Raw genomic sequence first — 13,150 nt, forward strand, 5'->3', positions numbered from 1 at the left:
GTATAAAAGCTCAGCCTTTTTTTTTTTTTTTTTTTTTTTTTGAGATGGTCTCGCTCAGTGGCCCAGGCTGGAGTGCAGTGGCACCATCTCAGCTCACTGCAACCTCCGCCTCCGGGGTTCAAGCGATTCTCCTGCCTCAGCCTCCTGAGTAGTTACAGTGGAGACGTTGTTTCGCTATGTTGGCCAGGCTGGTCTCAAACTCCTGGGCTCAAGTGATCCTCCCACCTCAGCTTCCCAAAATGCTGGGATTACAGGCATGGGCCACTGCGCCCGGCCTCAGCTTATTAATGTAGGTTTTCCTACACTTAAATCAATTACATACAAATCTTCCAGTTTTCTCATTTTAAGTGCATTCTTAGAAATCACGAAAGAAAGCAGAGTGGGCAAGCTGATCATTTTATTCTCCATCTGCAGTCAACTTGCTAAGTAGCTTGCAGTTAACAGCTTTTGCCACGAGAGGGCGATGATTGTTGGAAAGGCAGAGCTGAGTGGGCCAAGGTTGGACCCTGGGGATGTTGATGAAATAGCAACTGGTTATTATGTTCCGTTGATCCAGGGCCAGAAAGAGGAGACAAAGGACCTAAAATGCTTTAGGCTTAGATAGCTAGGTGATATTCTAGGAGGAGAAAATTTGGAACTGCTTCAGTTTCCAGCATTGTGTTATACTTTTATGTGTAAGAGCCTGAAGTTGAACAGAAAAAAAAAAAAAAAGTCGGGGCGGAGCTGTCTTTTCTTTTAAAAATAGACGCATGGAAGCATGTGTTTGTTTGTTCCTACTTGGTGTTTTTGTTTTATTTATAAAATGAAAACAGCTGAAATAATTTCTGGATTGTTCTGAACTTTTGAGCACAGACTCCCAGATGGTTTCTGTGGTCTGGGCCCTCAAAAACCCACCTGATGGGGGATGGCGCCCATCTTTGGAAAAAGCTATTTGAGGCTCTGTGAAGCAGCTCGAGTTTGTTTGTTTTCCCTTGTATTTGAAAATGGAAGTCAAGCATGCTCCCAGGGCAGAGAATTCCGCAACTGTGACCATCTTGCAAGGGGCAGGAAAAGATTTACAGTGTTTTGCTAGACCAATCGCCACTTCCTTCTGGGGTAAAAATCCTTACCAGCAACTCCTTACCAGCGACTCCTCTTCTGGCTAAATTGGAGTAGCATTTTCCTATCAAAGTCATTTAAGATACAGATTATTCAATAACCTGAGAGAAGGGTGGAGTATTCATTTCTAATGACTTCACAGAATTCCAGTCCTCTCTGAGCCCGAAGAGTTGTTGACTATCATCAGGTGTTAGGCCTCACATCTTTCATTTGCTAACAGTATTTTACTGTCTATGAAAATGGTTAACTGGTCGGGCACAGTGGCTCACACCTGTAATCCCAGCACTTTGGGAGGCCGAGGTGGGCGGATCACTTGAGGTCAGGAGTTCAAGACCAGCCTGGCCAACATGGTGAAACCCTGTATCTACTAAAAATACAAAAATTAGCCAGGCATGGTGACACGTGCCTGTAATCCCAGCTACTCAGGAGGCTGAGGCAGGAGAATCGCTTGAACCTGGGAGGTGGAGGTTGAAGTGAGCCAAGATCATACCACTGCATTCCACCTGGGTGACAGAGTGAGACTCTGTCTCAAAAAAAAAAAAAAAAAAAAAAGAAAAAGAAAATTGTTAACTGCCCTTAAAAATATAGTCGTTCTCCTTCGACACTCAAAAGTTCTCTATTTGCAAATGAAGTTCATATGAATTTGTTAATGATTCACTTCTCAGTAATTGGCAATCCCAAATTAATCAGATTTCCTTGCACTAATGGTTTCTTTAATAAATGATATTAGATGGTAATAGAAAGGACAGTCTTGGCAATAACTGCTTAAATCATAGCATGAGGGATTTAGATTTTCATCAGCAGCTTGCACCAGAAGCAGAGTCTGACTGAATATTATCTCCTTTGTAGATTAGATAGAAGAAGAATTAGGGAGATACAAAGAAGCATTTTCTAAGCATAGTTAGACTCTGATTTTGGTGACAGTACGAACTAGGGAAGTTGGAAAATGCCTCATTGGCCTAAAACTGGTAACATATAATAAACTAGGACTGGAGGCAAAATTACAGAAGTTTTTTTGGTAATTCTCTTGGGCTCTTTCTGGGGGATTCTTAGTCTTATAGAATTTTGCTACTTGATGCTCATCCATGGCCTGTGGAATGTATCGTCCTTTCATGTGGGTGTGGGGAGAAAAGGACTGGGGCAGTGGGAAAGGGGAGGCCCCATTGTTGCCAACACCAAGCCCAAGCTTTCTGTAGATGTGGCTCCCCATTTTCAACTAGAAGAAGAGAAATTTTTCATGTTCTAGCTTGAGAAGCCATGCTCTTAAGTTATTTGACCCTGTACATCCTCGACCCTTCAAAATATTTAAATTATTCCACACTTCAGCGCTGGCATCACAGATTATACGATAATAATTTACCAAGCTTCTTTTCTGCAAACAGGTAAAGGAGGAGGAGACATGGGTGGTAATGTAATTTCTGGATAGTTTAAACCTAAAAGCCTGCTATTAAGAGAAAAGGGGAAAATGACTGTTCAAGACCTGTATCTTGAAAGAATGCTGTTTATCTAGTATTCAGGGGCCAGGGAGTGTGTCTGTGGGTAAACTAAGCAATTCCTCCAAGAATTCTGACGGGAAACAGTTTTGGGGTTTGTCATAGTTTCTAATATTCTCTTAAAATAATCTGTTTCCCAACAAGTAAAAGCAGACGTCATTTCACGTAAAGAATTTCTCTGACTCCACCAGTAGCCCTTCCATCTTCTCATTTGTCCGGTTAAGCTTGAGTCAGAAAAAGAACACAACAATTTTGGTAAAAAATTTGTTGTTCTTCTCATCTGAATAGCCAAAAGTTATTGGTGTGTAAGGACCACAGTTCAGATAAGAGCTACTGTAACTAAATTTAGAGAAATTACTTTTCAGATCGACTTTCCTGTTCTAAAATTACATACTTCTGGTTGGTCTTTGCTTTATCTTCCTAATCAAGATCTGAGGTCACTGGAGGTCAGAAACATATGGCAAAAAGGAATTTAAATATTTTCCAATTAAAAAATTATCCTAAAATATCTTTATTATATTTCCAAGCCATAAATGATCACAGGTGCTTTGAGCCATGGTACTGATCCCAGGAAAGTGTTTGCAAACGTTTAAAAAATAGAATGGATCAGTTGATTCATGCTTTAGCTGATGGCACGGTCTCTTGGGAAGCTAACCCACTCTTGCCTCTTGCCCATGGGGCCAGGGGAACACTGCTGTTTAATTTGTCTTAAATACCTCTTCTGAGACTGTATTGGTCCCCGACCACCCATTTGCAAAGATCCAGCATCCGTCAAGACTATTTAACAGACGTTCCAAAAAGCTGGATGCTGACAGTCCAACTGTCATTTTAACCTTGGCATCTCCCATGACAGAGTGTGGAGCAGCAGGCTGTGACCTAGAGGAAAGACACAGAAGTGGTGAGGGGTTGCAGGGGCTGTAGCGTGGTGAGATGGCCCTGTACAATATCAGGTGAAGGGGAAGCATTTATAAACTTCCTTTGTTTTGATGTATCTGTTTTTCCCCCTATTTCTGCCTATACACCTACTTGAGCACTGGCTTGGCTAAAGTTACCCCCAAGAAAATGTTGAAGTAATGAGTCACCTACCTCACTTCATTTTTTTGAGACCTCACTTTCTTTCCTTCCTTTCTTTCCCTCCGAATTTATGAATGAAAATAGATAGGTAGAGGTTGAATTGGCTAAGGCTGTCTGTTGCTTTTTGATTTTCCCATCTCCAGGGGAAGAGGGCAGGGAACGATCCACTCCAATTAGGAATCCTAGACTTATATTCATTTAACAACTTTATATTATCCAGAACATTTTGTACAAATACATTGTAGAAATAAGTTATTTCTAGTGCTTGGGGCATAGTCTGTGAACTGATTTGTCTGTATATCTCGTAAATTTTCCATTTAGATGATCAGAGCAGGACAGAAGTTTCTCGCTGTGCTCTTAGGCTACAGGCAACTGTTGTCACTGGCTGACCCTTGGTTATAAGTACGTGGGAACTATGTCCTGGGCTTCACAGACAGGAGGAGAAGAGTTAGTTCTGTGGTGAGCTGTGTCTTTGGGGTGGTGGGAAGTCAACCCCAAAGAATGATTCTTATCATTGCTTCTTTTTTAACTAAGTTGGCAGAGTTTTATCTTCTCCATAGATACGTGGTAAAGGAAACTCATTTGAACCATTTGAACTGGTGGTTAATCTGAGTAATATGGAATATGTTCAAAGTGATGACATTGTATTACTTCTGTGCATGGACAGGAACTAGAACGGCTAATAAAATTGTTGTCAGGTAGAAGTTCTGAAGAGCCTGACATGATAAAAAGATAAGGATCATTTTAACCAGCACATTTGCTAAATAGGTAGTTGTTACTGCTGTGCCAAAAATTTCTTTCTATTCTTAAATTATTTAAAACATTATCTACCTTTGCATTGGCTATTAATTGGCCAAGCAATGCATTCCTTTCTACAGATAAATGTTCAGCCTGGTCCTATACAAGATATCACCATATCCTATTTGAACAAGTGCCAAATGAATGACGTGCATTATATATACTGAGTCTTCATCCATCAAAATAATTTTATTTAAACAGTTTGGATTAATAGGAAAAGAATGGTACTTAAAGTAGTGGTTCAGAGTCACAATAAACAGCCTGAGGTGACATCTGAGAGGCAGTTTTGGCGCTACCTGGAAGGCAGAGGTGACAGGAGTACCTGTTAGCCGAAGGCAGTGAGTTTTATGCTGTGGCCTGGCCTTTGCTCCCTGCAGTCTTTCTCGTCTCTTCCACATGTTTGGTGCGTATTCAGGTTTGGGCCCAGCCTACGTGGTGCAAAATGAAACACCATGTGTAATTTCAAGGGTGGACACATCTTAGAGTTCTGAGCAAAAGAAGAATGAGCACTTTATGTGTTGCAGGAACGCTGCTTGCATCTAGTAGATGCTCACAATGTATCTGCTGAACATTGAATGGCATTCATGAAATTAACGCATAAAACTTCCCGTTAGTTTAAAGCAGAGCCTGGGGGTCTACAGTGGAGGGCTTGCCCATCCTTATCAAGCTAGACAACTTGGTAATAACTACTTAGCTAACTCTCCTAACGCTACAGACCAAGAATATAACGCAAGGTAGGGGTACAGTAAAAGTCATGTGAATCTGGAATGCCGGTATTCCAGGCATTTGTTGTGGGTTTCCTGGCATTAGATTGTTCATGGGTCAGTATTGCAAGAGAATGCACATTTTTTACATCATACTCTCGTTGAAGGCAGGGTTTCCTTACTGGCTTACTGATTATATCACTCGCGAAGGGATTAGTCAGAAGGCAATGGAAACATCTTTCGTTTTCATTGTTCAGAGAGAGACTGGGGGTTTGTCTGCACTTTTACATTATCAGTGGGTAGAATCTCCCTTTGAGATTCTTAACAGAGGGTCATGAATTAGTATAAACCTTAGCTGGTCTGTATCCAGGATGAAAAAAATAATCTATTTTGGTGAGCCACTTGAGTCATAGGCTATCTAACTTACGAGCATGCCTACTCTGTTAGGTCCAGTAAAGGATTCAGAAAGAGACTTCAGGAGCTGCCCTGGGAAACAAGACAATAAAACAGTGTTGAATTAGGTTTTCTAGAGTAATGGTGCTCACCCACCTTGGTAGTTCAGACAATCATAGCAGAGCAGAACCAAAATGATATTAAATATATTAATTGATATATCTAATTAATCAGTCATTATTTATTGGTGTACCATTAGGTGCAAGGTATAATTCCTACTCATGAGGACTGAGAAAGACCAGTTGAAGAAGGGTAGAAAAATAATACCAACTTTAAAAAACTCTCTCTGATGTAACAATATAAGGCAATGGTAGAAGGTTGTCACATACAGAATAAGATCAATCATCAGATGTGTAGTTTAAGGATTGCCGTGAATTCAGAAGCAGAAGAATTCTCCAAGGGCTGTCTTCATTTGCAAAGGCATCACCAATGAGCAGGAGGATAGGAAATGCCTGGCATGTAGACGGGAGAGACTTGGAGCAGTTGCCCAAATGCCTCAGAAGTAACCAAGAGCAAGAAGTGGTTGTGATATTAAAAGAGATCAGCTCAAGTAGGGACTTGTGAGATACCAGATTGAAATTTAGATTACCACCAGACGACAGGAGCTGTGGTCCTTGTGACTCCAAGGGTGATCCCTAGACTAGCAGCATTGCATTACCTGGGAGCCTCTTAGAAATGCAGGATTTCCGGTCCCAACTTAGACCTGCAGAATCAGAATATTTGGGTGTGGAGTCCAGGAATTATGCTATAAAAACTGTCCAGTTGATTCTTCTGCATGCTCAAGTGTGGAAAGCACTGCTGCTTAGAACTGGGGCTTGGTTCCAAATGACAATGGAGATGCTTTGAAGAATCATTGAAGATGCTTTGAAGAGGAGAAGTGGCATGTCTTCTAGTGAGCAGACAGACCAGGGCATTTCAGAGACTTTCTTTTACGTGGTAGCCTCTGCTGTATTCTCACTTACCTGTTGCTCACCACCTGGAAAGTGAAATATCTCCAAATTGCCAGTCACTAACTATTGAAGTTGAAATTACATGACTGTTCTCTGAAGTGGTTTCTGAAGGCTGTCAGTAGGCCTTTTCTGGATTCTGATATGGTATGCGTCTAAAATATGTTTCTGTAAGTAAGGATTTTTTAAAGTATATACTTTGCAAAAAAAAATACTCCAATCAACAATAAGAACAACTATAGGGTACTTAGAGTTTAGAACATAAAAGTCATTCATATGTTTTCTAACCATTTAAAAAATCAGTTTCCTGTATTTTGATTCCATTCATTTATCTAGCACTTATCAGGAAATTCAGGTTTCCATGTTACACAGTTTATATGGGCCCTTATAAATCAGTATACCACTTTGATGGAAAAAATTTCCAAACTAAATCATTGCATAATCATTCATAGCAATAGCATCACTGTTATAATAAAATTAGCACAAATTTTAAAGTCTTGGTAAAAAGATTTTTGAATCTTATTTTAGTTTTTCTTGGCAACTTTGGTGTAACAGTTGGCTATAAGAAGGGCTATAAGATGTTAGGATTGCTATTCCTGCTTTAAATAGTTCCAGATTGGCAATTTTGGGGCAATTCTAGCGGTCACCTATTCCCTTATTTCCTAAGCTGGGAAGAATGGAATTTTCTTAAGGTTGAAATCCTAACCTGAATTTTACTGATAGAACCACAAAGTGGTACCTAGCCGACAGATTCACACATGGTGTTCACTTCTGCTGTTGAGTAGCACGTGGGTCCTGGTGCTAGTGTTTCTTTTCCTGCTCAGAGGACCTCTTCTCTCTTACTGATTTACAGTGACGTCCAGATGGTGGAGTTTGCTACAAAGCAGCCCACTGTATGAAAGACATGACATTGTATTCACCTGGACTCTAGGTTGACTCTAAAGAAGGCAAGGGTCCTTTGGTCACAGGGAGAACTGTTGTGTTCCTTCACGAGGTAGCAGAGACTTTGTGTTCTAGAGACTTGAGACCACCTCTATAAATATAACCAGAGCACAGGCTTCCTGTGTGGACCCTCAATACACATTTTTGAATGTTAGCCTCAAGCACCTTCATTTTTGATGTATAAAAAAATGGCATTTTATGGCTGGGCGCGGTGGCGCATGCCTGTAATCCCAGCACTTGTGGAGGCCAAGGAGGGTGGATCACGAGGTCAGGAGATCAAGACCATCCTGGCCAACATGGTGAAATCCTGTCTCTACTAAAAATACAAAAAATTAGCCAGGTGTGGTGACATGCACCTGTAGTCCCAGCTTTTCAGGAGGCTGAGGCAGGAGAATCGCTTGAACCCTGGAGGTGGAGGTTGCAGTGAGCTGAGATCATGCCACTGCACTCCAGCCTTAGCGACAGAGCAAGACTCCGTCTCAAAAAAAAAACAAAAACAAAAACAAAGGTGGCATTTTATTGACAGCTCTATTGAATGATGGTGAGGGTGACTCCTGGAGTAACAGAAAGAGCCCCTGGCTTTGGGACAGACACGGGGTCAAATTCTGGCTGTGCTACTTACTAGTTCCATGGCCTTGGGCAAGTCAACTCCTCTGAGCCTCTGTATCTTTGTGTCAAATGTGGATGTTAACATTTGCTTTCATAATTCTTGCATCAATGGAAAAGTAGCTTATATTTGACATATAGGAGGTGCTCAATAAATGATAGCCATGATTACTCTTTACTTGTTAATTATGTCCTCTCATTTGCCTTAGATTATCATTTTCTAAGCAAACAAAAAGGCCAAGATGGAGATGGTTTGCTCCAAACAGCTAGGTCTCATCACTGTTCTCTTAAGTAAACCAAATGCGTAGAGATGCCCATGTCCTCATGGCTTTCCTGCACCCAGAAAACCCACACCCTACTCATTTTGACACCTTCCCCCTAAATCTCCACTCTTCTATGGAAACTTCCAAATAATAAAATACCATCGAATAATGTTAACGTATTTCATTGGAGTTTCTCATCTCTCCAAAGAGATTGTAGCCTTTTTGAAGTCCTCTATAAATATGTACTAGTCAGCTGATTTGAAATTTGTTTATCATGGAGCCATAGGCTGCTACTGAATGAAGACTAGTGAATGAAAAATCAGAACTAATATTTTCCTGAGCAATTTTTAAGGGGTAGGCAGCTACAATAAAGACACCTTATTTTAGTTTTCCATGAAGTAGCTACTATTGAATCTCGATTTTACAAATAGGGAAACCAGCATTTCCTTTTGTCCAAGTTCATGCAGCTTGTTCACGCAGCTGAGCTAGGATTTTAACCCAGGCAGTCAGGATTCCAAGGCCAAGTTTGGACCCCTATACCACACCAATGAGAATGAAGGATGAGGAAAGCTATAGGAAACTTTAAAAACGTCCATGGAAGGAGTGCCCAAACAGGGACTGACTACAGTCAAATCATGAACTGTTTCAGTTAGGTTCCCAGGCATTTGTGACATTACCCACTCTGTTTAGATAACGAATTTATGTGTTTAGAGAGACCAGCCTCCTATCTGCATTGTCAGCCATCAGTCTAAATCAAAGCTTCCACCCAGTCCTGAATCTCTCCCTTACTTGGTCTAACCACCTTTCCAAGTATTTAGGAACAAAAGATTTGTGAACAGATTAAACACAGGCTGCTTTTGTTCCACTCCTACAGCTACCTATGCCTGCTTAATGCGGACTACAGGGTGTAGACTGGAGTCTGCGCTCGTGTATTTTAAACACACGCGGGAATTCAGCACCTTCCTCCGACAGCACAACAATGGTTCAACAATTCTTCACAGAAGACCCCGCGCTATTATAGCAAATATTTATAAGTTTATCTCACCACACTGCTCAGTGTTCAGAGTAAATCTGAATGGAAATATGGAGATCAAAGAATTTAATAATTTAAAAAACCCTTTCACGCTTTATCTGTCATCAAATGAAAGTATTAGTGAAGTGGTATGGAAATCCTCTTCAGCGTGCCTTCAGCCACCAGCTGTGCCACTTAAGATTTAAAACAATGTGATCAAGTGTTCAGAATCCATGGGATTGAGTTGTATGTTTACGTTAGTGTATTATTTCCAAGTTTCCAGTTTCCCCCGGATTAGCACATTTTAATTTCGGCTTTATTAAAGCAGTCAGAACATGAAAGGGGATTTAGCAGAGTGGAGATGTCAACCACGCTTTCTTGCCATCATGAAATGGTTTACTTGGTTCTGGGCAGCCATGCATATGAATCCAACAACATGTCTATAAGACTAAAAGTCAGCCAAGTGGGACAAGAAATGCAATTATGGAGTGAAACCACAGCTATCTAAACACGGTCGGGACCTTCAGGTCCTCAATTTGATTTCATATGACCCTACAGTTATGAAAACCCAACACAGCATAGTATCAACTAAACAGTAAATGCTTTAAATGCTAGGCATTCCTGGAGTGGCTCACATAAGCCCAGTATGGTGTTAGGCATTGTAGAGACATGGTCAGATACAGGAGACATGGCCCTGGGAACTCCATGAGATACCTCTTGTAGGAAGCCATGGTTTTGATGGGGGTGCACTTTGTCCATCAGTGTGCTGGGATAGAAGACTAAAAGCCACTGGTCCAAGAAATGACTCTTTAGTTAGATTTACCAACACATGAAATTATCAGAGAAAAATGCAGTAGAATCACCAAATGTTCATGTTAGAAGGCACCCCAGCAGCTGCCTAATCTGCTGGTTCCCAAACCCCACTCATCAGTAGGAAGTACCTGGGGAATTCAAAAATAAATGCACATTCCCAGGGCCCACCCCAGAATCAGAAGCTCTGATAGAGGGGCCTGGAAATCTGGATGCTTTAAAATGCTACCAAGGGGTTCTAAACGTCCACCAGCTCATCTGGTCCAGCCTCTCAGTGAACAAAGAGTATTTCTGTTCACAGCCTTGCAAAAGTGAACATCCAGCCGAGGCCAGCATCCCCCAGGTTGGAAGGAACTCATTGTAGAACAAGGCAGCACGGGTCCGATGTTGCACAGAGGATTGGAGTTACTAGAGGTTTTTCTTCTAGTGTAATCAAAGGAACCTTGCTGTAACTTCTACCCACTGGGCTTAGTTTGACCCTTTGCAGTGACACAGACCAAATCTCCTTCCAATGTGGAAATCCTTCAAATATTTTAAGAGTTTCTCTTCAGTTTGTCCTTTGTCTGATACTTATTTGCCCATTCATTCAGTTCAGACTGCCAGTCTCCTCTAACACTGGATTTACTGGGGCTGGCTGTTGCACTTCCCTCAGCTGCTTCTCGGAGGTCCTGGCTTCTCCTCGCCCTCCTGTTTGCCCTCAGTCAGCGTTCAGTGTAGTGCACAGTGTCTGACACCACACTGACCGTGTGGTCTGACCAGCAGAACCCAACAGGAGCAGCAGGAGCGGTTGCTTCCTGCATTCCAGGCTCTGTCCTGCTTCAACTGAAGACTGTTCTGAGACTAATCAGGGACCCAAACTGATGCAGACAGAAATCTCCGTGGCAGATCAGGAAGGGAAAATGTCAGTGTGGTTGAATTTACCAGGCATGAGTCACGTCCTGGTAAATGAATACATCTGGGGATGGAAGAGAGACACCGTCCTTCCAGTATTCCAAGTGGAGAAATACTGTTTCACTGGATACCTGAGTAACTGCTGCACAGACCACGCTATGCACGTATCATCAGGTCTGCAAGCTGAACAGATGCTCTCACGTGTCATCTCTTAGAGGTAGGATCAGTCCTGGCTGCTATACTCAAGCAGGAAAGGTAAGAGGGGGCAGCTTTTTTTCCCTCTCTTTGTGTAGTGTGAGCAACCTAAATATTTCCATCTAAGCAGGTTATGGTTCCTTCCCACAATTGAAGGGAAATATTGATGTGCCTGTTTATTGGGGGGTCAGCTTCCTGGCCTGATTTGCTTATCTTTAAAACAGTCACAAGAACTTTGCATATTCTTAGGAAAGAAAAGGGTAAGAAAAGAATCATTGTGTCTTGACAGCTGGTTGTAAAGTGAAGGAGTCAGTAAACAGGTTGGTGGTTTTATATACATGAGATTGAAAAAAGTTGCCTTGATTGTTTTTCCCTGAATCGGCTGGTCATTTTAATATCGATGTGGGCATGTTCTAATCCCCTGGTTAGTCAGCGAGATTTCTTTCTAAGTAGAATTAAGCAAGCAAACAAACAAACAAACAACAACAACCAAAAAAAAAAAAAAAAAAAGAAAAACACGGATAGAAAAAACAGCAGCAACAACAACAATAGCAGCAGGAGGAGCCACAATGAAATGGTTCAAGGATTGACCTACCCCAGGACTGCAGGTTTTATTTACTGCAGTATTCAGTACTTGAGCCTCCTGGAAATCAGAACTCCAGCATGACCTCTGTAGGTTTTGCTTTTTCTGTTGGTACAGGAACTGATAAGGTGACTCTTGAGTTTCTGGAATCAGAGTGGCAGCCACGAGGGCTGCGTAGGTTCTGTGTGAGGCCCAGCTCCAGCATCAGTGGTTGGAGACCAGGGAGACGCTTTGAGTTCTTCTTTACTGAGCTGCACGTGCACTGAGCCTGGACAGATGGGGATCTACAAGGGGTGTTTTGAGCACCAGCTGTTAGCCACCTATGTCCTGCCTGGGACACAGGAAGGTGTAAATGTGGGAAACAGGCAGAGTCTCATGCAGTCCCTACACCAGATCGTGGGGAATCGCCTGAGCTCACAAGAAGAGCATTGGTAGAGGGCAAGGCATTATGTGGGCTTTGGCTGGGTTGGGGAAATTGGATTAGAACAAGAATACTTTCATTTCTATGCTCAAAAATCTTTTTCTTTTTCTTGTTTTGAGACGGAGTCTCGCCCTGTCGCCCAGGCTGGAGTGCAGTGGCGTGATCTCGGCTCACTGCAAGCTCCGCCTCCTGGTTTCACGCCGTTCTCCTGCCTGAGCCTCCCGAGTAGCTGGGACTGTAGGCACGCACCACCACGCCCGGCTAACTTTTTGTATTTTTTAGTACAGACAGGGTTTCACCGTATTAGCCAGGATGGTCTTAATCTCCTCGTGATCCGCCCACCTCGGCCTCCCAAAGTGCTGGGATTACAGGCGTGAGCCACCGTGCCCGGCCCGCTCAAAAATCTTATAAGAAATATTTCATAGGTCCTAAACTTCGGCCGCAAACAGCTGGCTACTGGTGGCAACAGGTGCCAGTGAGCAACCTGTTGTTTGATTTCTATTTAAGTTATTTCTTGGCTGGATGTGGTGGCTCACACCTGTAATCCCAGCATTTTGGGAGGCCAAGGTGGGCAGATTGCTTGAGTCTAGGAGTTTGAGACCAGCCTGGGCCTGGGCAACATAACAAAACCCTCTCTCTACAAAAAAATATGAAAAATTAGGCAGGCATGGTCGCATCCACCTGTAGTCCCAGCTACTCAGGAGACTGAGGTGAGAGGACTGCTTGAGCCTGGGAGGCCAAGGCTGCAGTGAGCCAAAATCAAGCCACTGCACTCCAGCCTGGGCAACAGAGTGAGGCCCTGTCTCTAAATAAATAGATAAATTATTGATAGAATCAAAAAGGGATTTGACTAAGGCATC

General features: G+C 42.4%; 1 protein-coding gene across 18 annotated transcripts in view, besides 1 other annotated feature; it reads left to right on the forward strand.

The window, feature by feature from the left end:
* Nucleotides 1-13,150, forward strand: part of PRKCE (protein kinase C epsilon) — a 536,712-nt gene that overhangs the window by 411,374 nt on the left and 112,188 nt on the right. The gene's annotated exons all lie outside the window — the stretch shown is intronic.
* Nucleotides 4,662-5,861: an enhancer, noted in NCBI's record as "CDK7 strongly-dependent group 2 enhancer chr2:46294453-46295652 (GRCh37/hg19 assembly coordinates)". NCBI's record gives its function as "activates an origin of replication core promoter dependent on BRD2, BRD4, P300/CBP, MED14 and CDK7 cofactors, with strong dependence on CDK7, by STARR-seq in HCT116 cells {active_cell/tissue: HCT116}" and the evidence as "EXISTENCE:reporter gene assay evidence [ECO:0000049][PMID:35650434]".

Source organism: Homo sapiens, chromosome 2 (genome assembly GCF_000001405.40).
Source record: "Homo sapiens chromosome 2, GRCh38.p14 Primary Assembly".
Classification (NCBI taxonomy): Eukaryota; Metazoa; Chordata; class Mammalia; order Primates; family Hominidae; genus Homo; species Homo sapiens.